The 20,111-nt window shown below is 44.8% G+C and overlaps 4 non-coding genes across 4 annotated transcripts; all 4 read right to left on the bottom strand.

Annotated features, from left to right (window-relative positions):
- Positions 1-682: 682 nt before the first annotated feature.
- Positions 683-802, bottom strand: SNAR-C1 (small NF90 (ILF3) associated RNA C1). The gene has a single exon (NR_024220.1). It is a non-coding gene; the product is annotated as a small NF90 (ILF3) associated RNA C1 (small nuclear RNA).
- Positions 803-6,069: 5,267 nt separating this feature from the next.
- SNAR-C3 (small NF90 (ILF3) associated RNA C3) lies at positions 6,070-6,188 on the bottom strand. Its single transcript, NR_024221.1, has one exon. It is a non-coding gene; the product is annotated as a small NF90 (ILF3) associated RNA C3 (small nuclear RNA).
- Positions 6,189-11,440: 5,252 nt separating this feature from the next.
- On the bottom strand, positions 11,441-11,562 carry SNAR-A13 (small NF90 (ILF3) associated RNA A13). Its single transcript, NR_024216.1, has one exon. It is a non-coding gene; the product is annotated as a small NF90 (ILF3) associated RNA A13 (small nuclear RNA).
- A 5,261-nt stretch (positions 11,563-16,823) lies between these two features.
- On the bottom strand, positions 16,824-16,943 carry SNAR-C4 (small NF90 (ILF3) associated RNA C4). The gene has a single exon (NR_024218.1). It is a non-coding gene; the product is annotated as a small NF90 (ILF3) associated RNA C4 (small nuclear RNA).
- Positions 16,944-20,111: the final 3,168 nt, after the last annotated feature.

The raw sequence follows: 20,111 nt of genomic DNA, 5'->3' as shown, positions 1-20,111 counted from the left end.
TGTGTATTTTTTTAAACTTTAAGTCCAGAGTTTCTAATGTCCGTTTTATACTACTATAAAATGGTACTATGTATTCTTTATTTATGGTACTATTTACACTTTATTTTATACAGACTCTGGCTCCACAAAAAATGTTAAAAATTAGCCAGGTGCAGTGGTGCACATCTGCGGCCCCAGCTACTCAGGAGGCTGAGGCAGAAGGATTGCTTGAGCTCGGATGGTCAGGGCTGCAATGAGCTATGATCACACATCACATCAATGCACTCCAGCCTGGGCAACAGAGTGAGACGCTGTCTCTAAAAGAATAGAAGAGGCTGGGCGCGGTGGCTCACGCCTGTCATCCTACCAGTTTGGGAGACCAAGGCGAGTGGATCATTTGAGGCCAGGTGTTCAAGACCAGCCTGGTCAACATGGCGAAACCCCATCTCTTGGCAGGCGACTGTAATCCCAGCTACTCAGGAGGCTGAGATAGGAGACTCCCTTGAACCGACGAGGCAGAGGTTGCAGTGAGCCAAGATCACACCACTGCACTCCAGCCTGGGCAACAGAGCAAGCCTCGGTCTCCCAAAAAAAAAAAAAAAAAGAAAGATACATTGAAGTAATTTAAAAACACTTAGGAAGATGTCATTTCTTCCTATCAAGGCGTCCTCCCTTTATGTTTTGTTGTTATATTGGGAACGATAAAAAAAATTTTTTTTTCAACCCATGTGGACCAGGTTGGCCTCGAACTCGAGCCCTCGAACCCTCGCCTCTCTGAGGGTCCGAGGGCCCGCGCAACCGGCCGGAGCCACAATAGCTCCGGGTGTCGGGGCTGACCTTTAGGCCCTTTGATCTTACGCAGGGTGAGGGAGCCAATCACCAGAGGCTCACCCCTGACGTCACCCAGTCCCCAGGGCCAGTGAGGGCCCTGCGTTCCATGGCGCCCCCTGGAGGGAGGAAGGGGAACTGTATCTGAGAGTTCAGTATCTGACAATAAGGAAAAGGCATAGGAGATCAGATGGTGCCTAGTGTTCTGGAGAGAAGAAACAACGGGGTTGGCGAATTGGCAGTTGCACTTTATAATACAGGCCTCATGTATAAGGCAGACCTCATGGGGAAGATAACATCTGTGCAGAGAAATGGAGATGAGGGCTAGGAGCCATGCAAATACTGGAACATGCTTGCCAGCAGAAGTCGAGAAACATGGCCGGCGCAGTGGCCCACACCTGTAATCCCAGGACTTTGGGAGGCCGAGGCAGGTAGATCACGAGGTCAGCAGTTTGAGACCAGCCTGGCCAACATGGTGAAACCCTGTCTCTACAAAAATACAAAAATTAGCTGGGTGTGGTGGCACACGCCTTTAATCCCAGCCACTTGGGAGGGTGAGGTAGGAGAATCGCTTGAACCTGGGAGGTAGAGGTTGCAGTGATGCAGTGAGCTGAGACCACGCCATTGTACTCTAGCCTGGGCGACAGAGCGAGACTCCATCTCAAAAAAAAAAAAAAAAAAAAAAAGCAAAAACAAACAGGCGAGATTCATTTTGATAAAATAGCTGATTTAACCTAATATACCTAAAACATCATAATTTTAACATAATCAATAGAAACATTTTTGCAAAATTTTATGTTGTTTTTTTTACCACACGACGTCTTGGAAATCTTGGTTTGGACCAGCCATGTTCAACTGCTCAGTAGCCATGTGTGGCCAGAGGCGGCCGTATTGGACAGTGCAGATGGTGCATGAGGGTGTTCGGGCAGTGGGAACAGCCAGTACAGAGGCCCTGTGGGGGCACATGCCTGCTGCTACGGGAACAGTGAGGAGCCCCGTGTGGCTGCAGTGGAGTGAGAGGGAGAAGGTGGGAGATGTCACCAACGGTCTCATCATTCATTCATTAAATCCTTTTTTTTTTTTTTTTTTTTTTTTTGAGACTGAGTTTCGCTCTTGTTGCCCAGGCTGGAGTGCAATGGTGCCATCTCGGCTCACCACAACCTCCACCTCTTGAGTTCAAGCGATTCTCCTGCCTCACCCTCCCGAGTAGCTGGGATTACAGGCATGCGTCACCATGCCCGGCTAATTTTGTATTTTTAGTAGAGCTGGGGTTTCTCTCTGTTGGTCAGGCTGGTCTCGAACTCCCGACCTCAGGTGATCTGCCCGCCTTGACCTCCCAAAGTGCTGTGATTACAGGCTTGAGCCACTGCTCCCGGTCCATTGAACGTGTGTATATATAGTTGAATAAAGAAGACACTGGAGTTTGTTCTGTATCTTCTCCTTTCAAATTCTACGCCATTTGAATTTTTTCCTCTTCCTTTTATATATTTTTAATTGACAAATTGTACATATTTATCATGTACATATTGTTTTGAAATATGTATATACCGTAGAATGGCTAAATCAAGATCATTAACATATGTATTACTTTACCTATTTTCCTTTTTTCGTTGTGTCTCTGCCAGGTTTCGGTATCAGAATGACTCTGACCTCATAGAATGAGTTAGAGAGCAGTTGCTCCTCCTCAATTGTGTGGAATAATTTCAGTAGGATTGGTGCCGGCTTTTCTTTACACATCTGGTAGAATTCGACTGTGAATCCGTCTAGTCTAAGGTTTTTTGCGCTGGTTGGTAGGTCTTGTATGACTAACTCAATTTTGGAACTCATCGTTGGTTTGTTCAGGGTTTCCATTTCTTCCTGGTTCAATCTTGAGAGGTTTTATGTTTCCAGGAATTTCTCTATTTCTTCTAGTTTTCTAGTTTTTGTGCATAGAGGCATGTGGAATAGTCTCAGGGTTTCTTGTATGTCTGTGGGTCAGTGGTAATGTCACCTCTGTCATTTCTGATTGTGTTTATTTGGATCTTGTCTTTTTTTCTTTATTAATCTAGCTAGTGGTCTTTCCATGTTATTTATGCTTCCAAAAATATCAACTTTGTATGAATTAACAGCATTTGCAGTGACCTGGATGAGACCGGAGAGTATTATTCTAAGTGAAGTAACTCAGGAATGGAAAACCAAACATCGTATGTTCTCACTGATATGTGGGGCCTAAGCTATGAGGACACAAAGGCATAAGAATGATACAATGGACTTTGGGGACTTAGGGGGACGAGTTGGCGAGGGCGAGGGATAAAAGACAACAAATAGGGGGTAGTGTATACTGCTCAGGTGATGGGTGCACCAAAATCACAAATCACCACTAAAGAGCTTATGTAACCACATACCACCTGTACCCCAATAATTTATGGAATAAATAATAAATAAATAATTTTTTTAAAAAATCAACTTTGGGTTTCATTGATCTTTTGTATGGTATTTTACATCTCAATTTCATTCAGCTCAGCTCTGATTTTGTTTTTTTTTTTTCTTCTGCTAGCTTTGGGGTTGATTTGCTCTTGTTTTTCTAATTCCTCTAGGTGTGATGTTAGGCGGTTCATTTGAGATCTTTCTAGCTTCTTAATGTAGCCATATAGCACTAGAAACTTCCTCTGAGCACTGTTCTAGCTGTGTCCCAGAGATTCTGGGATGTTGTATGTTTGTTTTCATTAGTTTCAAATAATTTTTTTATTTCTGCCTTAATTTCAGTCTTTACCCAAAAGTCATTTGGAAGCAGGTTGTTTAATTTCCATGATGACTCTAGGCCGGGCATGGTGGCTCATGCCTGTAATCCCAGCCACTTGGGAGGCTGAGGCAGGAGAATCGCTTGAATCCAGGAGGCAGAGGTTTCAGTGAGCCAAGATCACGCCACTGCACTCCAGCCCGGGCGACAGAGTGAGGCTGCGTCTCAAAAAAAAAAAAAAAAAAATTGCCCCTTCTTAAGTTTGCATTTAGATCTCTTCTCCTTTGACCACTTTTAATTTATCTTCACTTCTGATATGACATTTTATTTTTTATTCATTTTCTGCCTGTTTATTATTGTTCCTCTTTTAACTTAAAAAAAAAACATGTGTGTACTTTATGAATTTCTGTTTCAAGGTGTTTTTCCCATCTCCAAATGCTTACTTGAAAATATTTCCTTTCCTCTTGGTTCATTTCTTCTGGTGTGTGTGTGCGCACGCCCGCGTGCATGTGTGTACTCGGGTCTCATTTTCTGCTTTCTTCCTGCAGTACCTCGTTTATGGGAGATGCACTTCGCTTTTGTTATTTTTTTAGTAGAGAGGGGGTTTCACTGGCTTAGCCAGAACAGTCTCGATCTCCTGACCTCGTGATCCGCCCACCTCGGGCTCCCAAAGTGCTGGGATTCCAGGAGTGAGCCACCGCGCCCGGCCGTCCACTTTGCTTCTTGCAGAGGCTGATGGTTTGAGTAATTTCCGAGATTCATAGCTCGAGCGCGCCCTGTTCTGTCTATGCAGTGAAGGGCAGCTTTTTGCATCCGCGGCTTTTTGTTGGCAAGGAGGAATGTGCAGTGGCCAGATTTGTTTCTTCCCCTTTTGTTGCTGTTGTTGTTGTTGCTGCTGCTGTTATTGTTGTTGTTGTTGTATTTTATTTTGTAGCATCCTAAAGTGTCCCCTCCTTCTATTTCTTATCCTTATCCAGGTAGGGTGTAGAAAAGCTAACTTAAGGGGCAGGGGAGAGAGAGAAAGAGAGGAAGAGAAAATGAGAATGAATGACAATACATGAACCCATGGGTCAACCTTTATTTCAAGGCAGCCCAAAAGGACGGCTCTCCCTTCTCTTTCACTCTCTTCTCTAGGTGTGAAGCTGATGCAGCACAGGCGAGCCCCAAAATTGAGGCTTAGCCCGGGGGGGTTCTTGGCTTCTCCTAGAAACTAATTCAAGAAGCCGGGCGCAGTGGCTCACGCCTGTAATCCCAGCACTTTGGGAGGCTGAGGCGGATGGATCACTTGAGGTAAGGAGTTCGAGACCAGCCTGGCCAACATGGTGAAACCCCATCTCTACTAAATATACAAAAATTACCCGGGCATGGGGACGGGTGCCTGTAATCCCAGCTGTTCAGGAGGCTGAGGCAGGGGAATCGCTTGAACCCGGGAGGCGGAGGTTGCAGTGAACAGAGATCGTGTCACTGCACTCCAGCCTGGGTGATAGAGTGAGGCTGCGAATCAAAAAAACAAAACAAAACAAAACAAAACAAAACAAAACAAAACAATTCAAGGGCAGGCCGGTGGTTTTAGACGGCAACTTTTACTGAAGCGTCAGTGCACAGCCACAGCAGAGGGACACACACCTGTATCTTTTCTAAGACTGGGAGAATTTTACAATTGCTTGACTAATTGAACAGTGCCTCGAGGATGTTACACTAGGTTATAAATAAATTCCTGCCGTGTTTAGCTGAGGCACGAACACAATGCCCACTGACAATTCCACTTTCCTCGAGGGCCATTCTTTATGAAAGGCTGTAGGAGTTCCACGACATTGTTGATTCCTGGATTCTCCAAGTCTCTAGAACTTGAGAACTACTTTTGTGTATTTTTTTAAACTTTAAGTCCAGAGTTTCTAATGTCCGTTTTATACTACTATAAAATGGTACTATGTATTCTTTATTTATGGTACTATTTACACTTTATTTTATACAGACTCTGGCTCCACAAAAAATGTTAAAAATTAGCCAGGTGCAGTGGTGCACATCTGCGGCCCCAGCTACTCAGGAGGCTGAGGCAGAAGGATTGCTTGAGCTCGGATGGTCAGGGCTGCAATGAGCTATGATCACACATCACATCAATGCACTCCAGCCTGGGCAACAGAGTGAGACCCTGTCTCTAAAAGAATAGAAGAGGCTGGGCGCGGTGGCTCACGCCTGTCATCCTAGCACTTTGGGAGACCAAGGCGAGTGGATCATTTGAGGCCAGGTGTTCAAGACCAGCCTGGTCAACATGGCGAAACCCCATCTCTTGGCAGGCGACTGTAATCCCAGCTACTCAGGAGGCTGAGATAGGAGACTCCCTTGAACCGACGAGGCAGAGGTTGCAGTGAGCCAAGATCACACCACTGCACTCCAGCCTGGGCAACAGAGCAAGCCTCGGTCTCCCAAAAAAAAAAAAAAAAGAAAGATACATTGAAGTAATTTAAAAACACTTAGGAAGATGTCATTTCTTCCTATCAAGACGTCCTCCCTTTATGTTTTGTTGTTATATTGGGAACGATAAAAAAATTTTTTTTTCAACCCATGTGGACCAGGTTGGCCTCGAACTCGTGCCCTCGAACCCTCGCCTCTCTGAGGGTCCGAGGGCCCGCGCAACCGGCCGGAGCCACAATGGCTCCGGGTGTCGGGGCTGACCTTTAGGCCCTTTGATCTTACGCAGGGTGAGGGAGCCAATCACCAGAGGCTCACCCCTGACGTCACCCAGTCCCCAGGGCCAGTGAGGGCCCTGCGTTCCATGGCGCCCCCTGGAGGGAGGAAGGGGAACTGTATCTGAGAGTTCAGTATCTGACAATAAGGAAAAGGCATAGGAGATCAGATGGTGCCTAGTGTTCTGGAGAGAAGAAACAACGGGGTTGGCGAATTGGCAGTTGCACTTTATAATACACGCCTCATGTATAAGGCAGACCTCATGGGGAAGATAACATCTGTGCAGAGAAATGGAGATGAGGGCTAGGAGCCATGCAAATACTGGAACATGCTTGCCAGCAGAAGTCGAGAAACATGGCCGGCGCAGTGGCCCACACCTGTAATCCCAGGACTTTGGGAGGCCGAGGCAGGTAGATCACGAGGTCAGCAGTTCGAGACCAGCCTGGCCAACGTGGTGAAACCCTGTCTCTACAAAAATACAAAAATTAGCTGGGTGTGGTGGCACACGCCTGTAATCCCAGCCACTTGGGAGGGTGAGGTAGGAGAATCGCTTGAACCTGGGAGGTAGAGGTTGCAGTGATGCAGTGAGCTGAGACCACGCCATTGTACTCTAGCCTGGGCGACAGAGCGAGACTCCATCTCAAAAAAAAAAAAAAAAAAAAAAAAAGCAAAAACAAACAGGCGAGATTCATTTTGATAAAATAGCTGATTTAACCTAATATACCTAAAACATCATAATTTTAACATAATCAATAGAAACATTTTTGCAAAACTTTATGTTGTTTTTTTTACCACACGACGTCTTGGAAATCTTGGTTTGGACCAGCCATGTTCAACTGCTCAGTAGCCATGTGTGGCCAGAGGCGGCCGTATTGGACAGTGCAGATGGTGCATGAGGGTGTTCGGGCAGTGGGAACAGCCAGTACAGAGGCCCTGTGGGGGCACATGCCTGCTGCTACGGGAACAGTGAGGAGCCCCGTGTGGCTGCAGTGGAGTGAGAGGGAGAAGGTGGGAGATGTCACCAACGGTCTCATCATTCATTCATTAAATCCTTTTTTTTTTTTTTTTTTTTTTTTTTGAGACTGAGTTTCGCTCTTGTTGCCCAGGCTGGAGTGCAATGGTGCCATCTCGGCTCACCACAACCTCCACCTCTTGAGTTCAAGCGATTCTCCTGCCTCACCCTCCCGAGTAGCTGGGATTACAGGCATGCGTCACCATGCCCGGCTAATTTTGTATTTTTAGTAGACCTGGGGTTTCTCTCTGTTGGTCAGGCTGGTCTCGAACTCCCGACCTCAGGTGATCTGCCCGCCTTGACCTCCCAAAGTGCTGTGATTACAGGCTTGAGCCACTGCTCCCGGTCCATTGAACGTGTGTATATATAGTTGAATAAAGAAGACACTGGAGTTTGTTCTGTATCTTCTCCTTTCAAATTCTACGCCATTTGAATTTTTTCCTCTTCCTTTTATATATTTTTAATTGACAAATTGTACATATTTATCATGTACATATTGTTTTGAAATATGTATATACCGTAGAATGGCTAAATCAAGATCATTAACATATGTATTACTTTACCTATTTTCCTTTTTTCGTTGTGTCTCTGCCAGGTTTCGGTATCAGAATGACTCTGACCTCATAGAATGAGTTAGAGAGCAGTTGCTCCTCCTCAATTGTGTGGAATAATTTCAGTAGGATTGGTGCCGGCTTTTCTTTACACATCTGGTAGAATTCGACTGTGAATCCGTCTAGTCTAAGGTTTTTTGCGCTGGTTGGTAGGTCTTGTATGACTAACTCAATTTTGGAACTCATCGTTGGTTTGTTCAGGGTTTCCATTTCTTCCTGGTTCAATCTTGAGAGGTTTTATGTTTCCAGGAATTTCTCTATTTCTTCTAGTTTTCTAGCTTTTGTGCATAGAGGCATGTGGAATAGTCTCAGGGTTTCTTGTATGTCTGTGGGTCAGTGGTAATGTCACCTCTGTCATTTCTGATTGTGTTTATTTGGATCTTGTCTTTTTTTCTTTATTAATCTAGCTAGTGGTCTTTCCATGTTATTTATGCTTCCAAAAATATCAACTTTGTATGAATTAACAGCATTTGCAGTGACCTGGATGAGACCGGAGAGTATTATTCTAAGTGAAGTAACTCAGGAATGGAAAACCAAACATCGTATGTTCTCACTGATATGTGGGACCTAAGCTATGAGGACACAAAGGCATAAGAATGATACAATGGACTTTGGGGACTTAGGGGGACGAGTTGGCGAGGGCGAGGGATAAAAGACAACAAATAGGGGGTAGTGTATACTGCTCAGGTGATGGGTGCACCAAAATCACAAATCACCACTAAAGAGCTTATGTAACCACATACCACCTGTACCCCAATAATTTATGGAATAAATAATAAATAAATAATTTTTTTAAAAAATCAACTTTGGGTTTCATTGATCTTTTGTATGGTATTTTACATCTCAATTTCATTCAGCTCAGCTCTGATTTTGTTTTTTTTTTTTTTCTTCTGCTAGCTTTGGGGTTGATTTGCTCTTGTTTTTCTAATTCCTCTAGGTGTGATGTTAGGCGGTTCATTTGAGATCTTTCTAGCTTCTTAATGTAGCCATATAGCACTAGAAACTTCCTCTGAGCACTGTTCTAGCTGTGTCCCAGAGATTCTGGGATGTTGTATGTTTGTTTTCATTAGTTTCAAATAATTTTTTTATTTCTGCCTTAATTTCAGTCTTTACCCAAAAGTCATTTGGAAGCAGGTTGTTTAATTTCCATGATGACTCTAGGCCGGGCATGGTGGCTCATGCCTGTAATCCCAGCCACTTGGGAGGCTGAGGCAGGAGAATCGCTTGAATCCAGGAGGCAGAGGTTTCAGTGAGCCAAGATCACGCCACTGCACTCCAGCCCGGGCGACAGAGTGAGGCTGCGTCTCAAAAAAAAAAAAAAAAAAATTGCCCCTTCTTAAGTTTGCATTTAGATCTCTTCTCCTTTGACCACTTTTAATTTATCTTCACTTCTGATATGACATTTTATTTTTTATTCATTTTCTGCCTGTTTATTATTGTTCCTCTTTTAACTTAAAAAAAAAACATGTGTGTACTTTATGAATTTCTGTTTCAAGGTGTTTTTCCCATCTCCAAATGCTTACTTGAAAATATTTCCTTTCCTCTTGGTTCATTTCTTCTGGTGTGTGTGTGCGCACGCCCGCGTGCATGTGTGTACTCGGGTCTCATTTTCTGCTTTCTTCCTGCAGTACCTCGTTTATGGGAGATGCACTTCGCTTTTGTTATTTTTTTAGTAGAGAGGGGGTTTCACTGGTTTAGCCAGAACAGTCTCGATCTCCTGACCTCGTGATCCGCCCACCTCGGGCTCCCAAAGTGCTGGGATTCCAGGAGTGAGCCACCGCGCCCGGCCGTCCACTTTGCTTCTTGCAGAGGCTGATGGTTTGAGTAATTTCCGAGATTCATAGCTCGAGCGCGCCCTGTTCTGTCTATGCAGTGAAGGGCAGCTTTTTGCATCCGCGGCTTTTTGTTGGCAAGGAGGAATGTGCAGTGGCCAGATTTGTTTCTTCCCCTTTTGTTGCTGTTGTTGTTGTTGCTGCTGCTGTTATTGTTGTTGTTGTATTTTATTTTGTAGCATCCTAAAGTGTCCCCTCCTTCTATTTCTTATCCTTATCCAGGTAGGGTGTAGAAAAGCTAACTTAAGGGGCAGGGGAGAGAGAGAAAGAGAGGAAGAGAAAATGAGAATGAATGACAATACATGAACCCATGGGTCAACCTTTATTTCAAGGCAGCCCAAAAGGACGGCTCTCCCTTCTCTTTCACTCTCTTCTCTAGGTGTGAAGCTGATGCAGCACAGGCGAGCCCCAAAATTGAGGCTTAGCCCGGGGGGGTTCTTGGCTTCTCCTAGAAACTAATTCAAGAAGCCGGGCGCAGTGGCTCACGCCTGTAATCCCAGCACTTTGGGAGGCTGAGGCGGATGGATCACTTGAGGTAAGGAGTTCGAGACCAGCCTGGCCAACATGGTGAAACCCCATCTCTACTAAATATACAAAAATTACCCGGGCATGGGGACGGGTGCCTGTAATCCCAGCTGTTCAGGAGGCTGAGGCAGGGGAATCGCTTGAACCCGGGAGGCGGAGGTTGCAGTGAACAGAGATCGTGTCACTGCACTCCAGCCTGGGTGATAGAGTGAGGCTGCGAATCAAAAAAACAAAACAAAACAAAACAAAACAATTCAAGGGCAGGCCGGTGGTTTTAGACGGCAACTTTTACTGAAGCGTCAGTGCACAGCCACAGCAGAGGGACACACACCTGTATCTTTTCTAAGACTGGGAGAATTTTACAATTGCTTGACTAATTGAACAGTGCCTCGAGGATGTTACACTAGGTTATAAATAAATTCCTGTCGTGTTTAGCTGAGGCACGAACACAATGCCCACTGACAATTCCACTTTCCTCGAGGGCCATTCTTTATGAAAGGCTGTAGGAGTTCCACGACATTGTTGATTCCTGGATTCTCCAAGTCTCTAGAACTTGAGAACTACTTTTGTGTATTTTTTTAAACTTTAAGTCCAGAGTTTCTAATGTCCGTTTTATACTACTATAAAATGGTACTATGTATTCTTTATTTATGGTACTATTTACACTTTATTTTATACAGACTCTGGCTCCACAAAAAATGTTAAAAATTAGCCAGGTGCAGTGGTGCACATCTGCGGCCCCAGCTACTCAGGAGGCTGAGGCAGAAGGATTGCTTGAGCTCGGATGGTCAGGGCTGCAATGAGCTATGATCACACATCACATCAATGCACTCCAGCCTGGGCAACACAGTGAGACCCTGTCTCTAAAAGAATAGAAGAGGCTGGGCGCGGTGGCTCACGCCTGTCATCCTACCACTTTGGGAGACCAAGGCGAGTGGATCATTTGAGGCCAGGTGTTCAAGACCAGCCTGGTCAACATGGCGAAACCCCATCTCTTGGCAGGCGACTGTAATCCCAGCTACTCAGGAGGCTTAGATAGGAGACTCCCTTGAACCGACGAGGCGGAGGTTGCAGTGAGCGAAGATCACACCACTGCACTCCAGCCTGGGCAACAGAGCAAGGCTCGGTCTCCCAAAAAAAAAAAAAAAAAAGACACATGGAAGTAATTTAAAAACACTTAGGAAGATGTCATTTCTTCCTATCAAGGCGTCCTCCCTTTATGTTTTGTCGTTATATTGGGAACGATAAAAAAAAGTCCTTTTTTCCGACCCATGTGGACCAGGCTGGCCTCGAACTCGTGCCCTGGAACCCCCGCCTCCGTGAGGGCCCGAGGGCAGGCGCAACCTGCCTGAGCCACAATGGCTCCGGGTGTCGGGGCTGTCCTTTAGTCCCTTTGATCTTACGCAGGGTGAGGGAGCCAATCACCAGAGGCTCCCCCCTGTCGTCACCCAGTCCCCAGGGCCAGTGAGGGCCCTGCGTTCCATGGCGCCCCCTGGAGGGAGGAAGGGGAACTGTATCTGAGAGTTCAGTATCTGACAATAAGGAAAAGGCATAGGAGATCAGATGGTGCCTAGTGTTCTGGAGAGAAGAAACAACGGGGTTGGGGAATGCGGAGTTGCAGTTTATAATACAGGCCTCATGTATAAGGCAGACCTCATGGGGAAGGTAACATCTGTGCAGAGAAATGGAGATGAGGGCTAGGAGCCATGCAAATACTGGAACATGCTTGCCAGCAGAAGTCGAGAAACATGGCTGGCGCAGTGGCCCACACCTGTAATCCCAGGACTTTGGGAGGCCGAGGCAGGTAGATCACGAGGTCAGCAGTTCGAGACCAGCCTGGCCAACATGGTGAAACCCTGTCTCTACTAAAAATACAAAAATTAGCTGGGTGTGGTGGCACACGCCTGTAATCCCAGCCACTTGGGAGGGTGAGGTAGGAGAATCGCTTGAACCTGGGAGGTAGAGGTTGCAGTGATGCAGTGAGCCGAGACCACGCCATTGTACTCTAGCCTGGGCGACAGAGCGAGCCTCCATCTCAAAAAAAAAAAAAAAAAAAAAAAGCAAAAACAAACAGGCGAGATTCATTTGGATAAAATAGCTGATTTAACCTAATATACCTAAAACATCATAATTTTAACATAATCAATAGAAACATTTTTGCAAGATTTTATGTTATTTTTTACCATACGACGTCTTGGAAATGTTGGTTTGGACCAGCCATGTTCAACTGCTCAGTAGCCATGTGTGGCCAGAGGCGGCCGTATTGGACAGTGCAGATGGTGCATGAGGGTGTTCGGGCAGTGGGAACAGCCAGTACAGAGGCCCAGTGGGGGCACATGCCTGCTGCTACGGGAACAGTGAGGAGCCCCGTGTGGCTGCAGTGGAGTGAGAGGGAGAAGGTGGGAGATGTAACCAACAGTCTCATCATTCATTCATTAAATCCTTTTTTTTCTTTTTTTGAGACTGAGTTTCGCTCTTGTTGCCCAGGCTGGAGTGCAATGGTGCCATCTCGGCTCACCACAACCTCCACCTCTTGAGTTCAAGCGATTCTCCTGCCTCAGCCTTCCGAGTAGCTGGGATTACAGGCATGCGCCACCATGCCCGGCTAATTTTGTATTTTTAGTAGAGCTGGGGTTTCTCCCTGTTGGTCAGGCTGGTCTCGAACTCCCGACCTCAGGTGATCTGCCCGCCTTGACCTCCCAAAGTGCTGTGATTACAGGCTTGAGCCACTGCTCCCAGTCCATTGAATGTGTGTATATATAGTTGAATAAAGAAGACACCGGAGTTTGTTCTGTATCTTCTCCTTTCAAATTCTGTGCCATTTGAATTTTTTCCTATTCCTTTTATATATTTTTAATTGACAAATTGTACATATTTATCATGTACATATTGTTTTGAAATATGTATATACCGTAGAATGGCTAAATCAAGATCATTAACATATGTATTACTTTACCTATTTTCCTTTTTTCGTTGTGTCTCTGCCAGGTTTCGGTATCAGAATGACTCTGACCTCATAGAATGAGTTAGAGAGCAGTTGCTCCTCCTCAATTGTGTGGAATAATTTCAGTAGGATTGGTGCCGCCTTTTCTTTACACATCTGGTAGGATTCGACTGTGAATCCGTCTAGTCTAAGGTTTTTTGTGCTGGTTGGTAGGTTTTGTATGACTAACTCAATTTTGGAACTCATCGTTGGTTTGTTCAGGGTTTCCATTTCTTCCTGGTTCAATCTTGAGAGGTTTTATGTTTCCAGGAATTTCTCTATTTCTTCTAGTTTTCTAGTTTGTGTGCATAGAGGCATGTGGAATAGTCTCAGGGTTTCTTGTATATCTGTGGGTCAGTGGTAATGTCACCTTTGTCATTTCTGATTGTGTTTATTTGGATCTTGTCTTTTTTTCTTTATTAATCTAGCTAGTGGTCTTCCCATGTTATTTATGCTTTCAAAAATATCAACTTTGTATGAATTAACAGCATTTGCCGTGACCTGGATGAGACCGGAGACTGTTATTCTAACTGAAGTAACTCAGGAATGGAAAACCAAACATCGTATGTTCTCACTGATATGTGGGAGCTAAGCTATGAGGACGCAAAGGCGTAAGAATGATACAATGGACTTTGGGGACTTAGGGGGACGAGTTGGCGGGGGCGAGGGATAAAATACAACAAGTAGGGTGTAGTGTATACTGCTCAGGTGATGGGTGCACCAAAATCACAAATCACCACTAAAGAGCTTATGTAACCACACACCACCTGTACCCCAATAATTTATGGAATAAATAATAAATAAATAATTTTTTTAAAAAATCAACTTTGGGTTTCATTGATCTTTTGTATGGTTTTTTACGTCTCCATTTCATTCAGGTCAGCTCCGATGTTGGTTTTTTTTTTTCTTCTGCTAGCTTTGGGGTTGATTTGCTCTTGTTTTTCTAATTCCTCTAGGTGTGATGTTAGGCGGTTCATTTGAGATCTTTCTAGCTTCTTAGTGTAGCCATATAGCACTAGAAACTTCCTTTGAGCACTGTTCTAGCTGTGTCCCAGAGATTCTGGGATGTTGTATGTTTGTTTTCATTAGTTTCAAATAATTTTTTTATTTCTGCCTTAAATTCAGTCTTTACCCAAAAGTCATTTGGAAGCAGGTTGTTTAATTTCCATGATGACTCTAGGCCGGGCATGGTGGCTCATGCCTGTAATCCCAGCCACTTGGGAGGCTGAGGCAGGAGAATCGCTTGAATCCAGGAGGCAGAGGTTTCAGTGAGCCAAGATCACGCCACTGCACTCCAGCCCGGGCGACAGAGTGAGGCTGCGTCTCAAAAAAAAAAAAAAAAAAAAAAATTGCCCCTTCTTAAGTTTGCATTTAGATCTCTTCTCCTTTGACCACTTTTAATTTATCTTCACTTCTGATATGACATTTAATTTTTCGTTCATTTTCTGTCTATTATTGTTCCTTTTTTAACTTAAAAAAAAATTCTGTGCTTTATGAATTTCTGTTTCAAGGTGTTTTTCCCATCTCCAAATGCTTATTTGAAAATGTTTCCTTTCCTCTTGGTTCATTTCTTCTGGTGTGTGTGTGCGCGCGCCCGCGTGCATGTGTGTACTCGGGTCTCATTTTCTGCTTTCTTCCTGCAGTACCTCGTTTATGGGAGATGCACTTCGCTTTTGTTATTTTTTTAGTAGAGAGGGGGTTTCACTGGTTTAGCCAGAACAGTCTCGATCTCCTGACCTCGTGATCCGCCCACCTCGGGCTCCCAAAGTGCTGGGATTCCAGGAGTGAGCCACCGCGCCCGGCCGTCCACTTTGCTTCTTGCAGAGGCTGATGGTTTGAGTAATTTCCGAGATTCATAGCTCGAGCGCGCCCTGTTCTGTCTATGCAGTGAAGGGCAGCTTTTTGCATCCGCGGCTTTTTGTTGCCAAGGAGGAATGTGCAGTGGCCAGATTTGTTTCTTCCCCTTTTGTTGCTGTTGTTGTTGTTGCTGCTGCTGTTATTGTTGTTGTTGTTGTATTTTATTTTGTAGCATCCTAAAGTGTCCCCTCCTTCTATTTCTTATCCTTATCCAGGTAGGGTGTAGAAAAGCTAACTTAAGGGGCAGGGGAGAGAGAGAAAGAGAGGAAGAGAAAATGAGAATGAATGACAATACATGAACCCATGGGTCAACCTTTATTTCAAGGCAGCCCAAAAGGACGGCTCTCCCTTCTCTTTCACTCTCTTCTCTAGGTGTGAAGCTGATGCAGCACAGGCGAGCCCCAAAATTGAGGCTTAGCCCGGGGGGGTTCTTGGCTTCTCCTAGAAACTAATTCAAGAAGCCGGGCGCAGTGGCTCACGCCTGTAATCCCAGCACTTTGGGAGGCTGAGGCGGATGGATCACTTGAGGTAAGGAGTTCGAGACCAGCCTGGCCAACATGGTGAAACCCCATCTCTACTAAATATACAAAAATTACCCGGGCATGGGGACGGGTGCCTGTAATCCCAGCTGTTCAGGAGGCTGAGGCAGGGGAATCGCTTGAACCCGGGAGGCGGAGGTTGCAGTGAACAGAGATCGTGTCACTGCACTCCAGCCTGGGTGATAGAGTGAGGCTGCGAATCAAAAAAACAAAACAAAACAAAACAAAACAAAACAAAACAAAACAAAACAATTCAAGGGCAGGCCGGTGGTTTTAGACGGCAACTTTTACTGAAGCGTCAGTGCACAGCCACAGCAGAGGGACACACACCTGTATCTTTTCTAAGACTGGGAGAATTTTACAATTGCTTGACTAATTGAACAGTGCCTCGAGGATGTTACACTAGGTTATAAATAAATTCCTGCCGTGTTTAGCTGAGGCACGAACACAATGCCCACTGACAATTCCACTTTCCTCGAGGGCCATTCTTTATGAAAGGCTGTAGGAGTTCCACGACATTGTTGATTCCTGGATTCTCCAAGTCTCTAGAACTTGAGAACTACTTTTGTGTATTTTTTTAAACTTTAAGTCCAGAGTTTCTAATGTCCGTTTTATACTACTATAAAATGGTACTATGTATTCTTTATTTATGGTACTATTTACACTTTATTTTATACAGACTCTGGCTCCACAAAAAATGTTAAAAATTAGCCAGGTGCAGTGGTGCACATCTGCGGCCCCAGCTACTCAGGAGGCTGAGGCAGAAGGATTGCTTGAGCTCGGATGGTCAGGGCTGCAATGAGCTATGATCACACATCACATCAATGCACTCCAGCCTGGGCAACAGAGTGAGACGCTGTCTCTAAAAGAATAGAAGAGGCTGGGCGCGGTGGCTCACGCCTGTCATCCTACCACTTTGGGAGACCAAGGCGAGTGGATCATTTGAGGCCAGGTGTTCAAGACCAGCCTGGTCAACATGGCGAAACCCCATCTCTTGGCAGGCGACTGTAATCCCAGCTACTCAGGAGGCTGAGATAGGAGACTCCCTTGAACCGACGAGGCAGAGGTTGCAGTGAGCCAAGATCACACCACTGCACTCCAGCCTGGGCAACAGAGCAAGCCTCGGTCTCCCAAAAAAAAAAAAAAAAAAAGAAAGATACATTGAAGTAATTTAAAAACACTTAGGAAGATGTCATTTCTTCCTATCAAGGCGTCCTCCCTTTATGTTTTGTTGTTATATTGGGAACGATAAAAAAAATTTTTTTTTCAACCCATGTGGACCAGGTTGGCCTCGAACTCGTGCCCTCGAACCCTCGCCTCTCTGAGGGTCCGAGGGCCCGCGCAACCGGCCGGAGCCACAATAGCTCCGGGTGTCGGGGCTGACCTTTAGGCCCTTTGATCTTACGCAGGGTGAGGGAGCCAATCACCAGAGGCTCACCCCTGACGTCACCCAGTCCCCAGGGCCAGTGAGGGCCCTGCGTTCCATGGCGCCCCCTGGAGGGATGAAGGGGAACTGTATCTGAGAGTTCAGTATCTGACAATAAGGAAAAGGCATAGGAGATCAGATGGTGCCTAGTGTTCTGGAGAGAAGAAACAACGGGGTTGGCGAATTGGCAGTTGCACTTTATAATACAGGCCTCATGTATAAGGCAGACCTCATGGGGAAGATAACATCTGTGCAGAGAAATGGAGATGAGGGCTAGGAGCCATGCAAATACTGGAACATGCTTGCCAGCAGAAGTCGAGAAACATGGCCGGCGCAGTGGCCCACACCTGTAATCCCAGGACTTTGGGAGGCCGAGGCAGGTAGATCACGAGGTCAGCAGTTCGAGACCAGCCTGGCCAACATGGTGAAACCCTGTCTCTACAAAAATACAAAAATTAGCTGGGTGTGGTGGCACACGCCTGTAATCCCACCCACTTGGGAGGGTGAGGTAGGAGAATCGCTTGAACCTGGGAGGTAGAGGTTGCAGTGATGCAGTGAGCTGAGACCACGCCATTGTACTCTAGCCTGGGCGACAGAGCGAGACTCCATCTCAAAAAAAAAAAAAAAAAAAAAAAAAAAGCAAAAACAAACAGGCGAGATTCATTTTTATAAAATAGCTGATTTAACCTAATATACCTAAAACATCATAATTTTAACATAATCAATAGAAACATTTTTGCAAAATTTTATGTTGTTTTTTTTACCACACGACGTCTTGGAAATCTTGGTTTGGACCAGCCATGTTCAACTGCTCAGTAGCCATGTGTGGCCAGAGGCGGCCGTATTGGACAGTGCAGATGGTGCATGAGGGTGTTCGGGCAGTGGGAACAGCCAGTACAGAGGCCCTGTGGGGGCACATGCCTGCTGCTACGGGAACAGTGAGGAGCCCCGTGTGGCTGCAGTGGAGTGAGAGGGAGAAGGTGGGAGATGTCACCAACGGTCTCATCATTCATTCATTAAATCCTTTTTCTTTTTTTTTTTTTTTTTGAGACTGAGTTTCGCTCTTGTTGCCCAGGCTGGAGTGCAATGGTGCCATCTCGGCTCACCACAACCTCCACCTCTTGAGTTCAAGCGATTCTCCTGCCTCACCCTCCCGAGTAGCTGGGATTACAGGCATGCGTCACCATGCCCGGCTAATTTTGTATTTTTAGTAGAGCTGGGGTTTCTCTCTGTTGGTCAGGCTGGTCTCGAACTCCCGACCTCAGGTGATCTGCCCGCCTTGACCTCCCAAAGTGCTGTGATTACAGGCTTGAGCCACTGCTCCCGGTCCATTGAACGTGTGTATATATAGTTGAATAATAAGACACTGGAGTTTGTTCTGTATCTTCTCCTTTCAAATTCTACGCCATTTGAATTTTTTCCTCTTCCTTTTATATATTTTTAATTGACAAATTGTACATATTTATCATGTACATATTGTTTTGAAATATGTATATACCGTAGAATGGCTAAATCAAGATCATTAACATATGTATTACTTTACCTATTTTCCTTTTTTCGTTGTGTCTCTGCCAGGTTTCGGTATCAGAATGACTCTGACCTCATAGAATGAGTTAGAGAGCAGTTGCTCCTCCTCAATTGTGTGGAATAATTTCAGTAGGATTGGTGCCGCCTTTTCTTTACACATCTGGTAGGATTCGACTGTGAATCCGTCTAGTCTAAGGTTTTTTGTGCTGGTTGGTAGGTTTTGTATGACTAACTCAATTTTGGAACTCATCGTTGGTTTGTTCAGGGTTTCCATTTCTTCCTGGTTCAATCTTGAGAGGTTTTATGTTTCCAGGAATTTCTCTATTTCTTCTAGTTTTCTAGTTTGTGTGCATAGAGGCATGTGGAATAGTCTCAGGGTTTCTTGTATATCTGTGGGTCAGTGGTAATGTCACCTTTGTCATTTCTGATTGTGTTTATTTGGATCTTGTCTTTTTTTCTTTATTAATCTAGCTAGTGGTCTTCCCATGTTATTTATGCTTTCAAAAATATCAACTTTGTATGAATTAACAGCATTTGCCGTGACCTGGATGAGACCGGAGACTGTTATTCTAACTGAAGTAACTCAGGAATGGAAAACCAAACATCGTATGTTCTCACTGATATGTGGGAGCTAAGCTATGAGGACGCAAAGGCGTAAGAATGATACAATGGACTTTGGGGACTTAGGGGGACGAGTTGGCGGGGGCGAGGGATAAAATACAACAAGTAGGGTGTAGTGTATACTGCTCAGGTGATGGGTGCACCAAAATCACAAATCACCACTAAAGAGCTTATGTAACCACACACCACCTGTACCCCAATAATTTATGGAATAAATAATAAATAAATAATTTTTTTAAAAAATCAACTTTGGGTTTCATTGATCTTTTGTATGGTTTTTTACGTCTCCATTTCATTCAGGTCAGCTCCGATGTTGGTTTTCTTTTTTTCTTCTGCTAGCTTTGGGGTTGATTTGCTCTTGTTTTTCTAATTCCTCTAGGTGTGATGTTAGGCGGTTCATTTGAGATCTTTCTAGCTTCTTAGTGTAGCCATATAGCACTAGAAACTTCCTTTGAGCACTGTTCTAGCTGTGTCCCAGAGATTCTGGGATGTTGTATGTTTGTTTTCATTAGTTTCAAATAATTTTTTTATTTCTGCCTTAAATTCAGTCTTTACCCAAAAGTCATTTGGAAGCAGGTTGTTTAATTTCCATGATGACTCTAGGCCGGGCATGGTGGCTCATGCCTGTAATCCCAGCCACTTGGGAGGCTGAGGCAGGAGAATCGCTTGAATCCAGGAGGCAGAGGTTTCAGTGAGCCAAGATCACGCCACTGCACTCCAGCCTGGGCGACAGAGTGAGGCTGCGTCTCAAAAAAAAAAAAAAAAAAATTGCCCCTTCTTAAGTTTGCATTTAGATCTCTTCTCCTTTGACCACTTTTAATTTATCTTCACTTCTGATATGACATTTAATTTTTCATTCATTTTCTGTCTATTATTGTTCCTTTTTTAACTTAAAAAAAAATTCTGTGCTTTATGAATTTCTGTTTCAAGGTGTTTTTCCCATCTCCAAATGCTTATTTGAAAA

This window comes from Homo sapiens, chromosome 19, assembly GCF_000001405.40.
Source record: "Homo sapiens chromosome 19, GRCh38.p14 Primary Assembly".
Taxonomy (NCBI): domain Eukaryota; kingdom Metazoa; phylum Chordata; class Mammalia; order Primates; family Hominidae; genus Homo; species Homo sapiens.
Note: the sequence above shows the minus strand (reverse complement) of the source record. Positions and strands in the feature narration are given on the sequence as shown.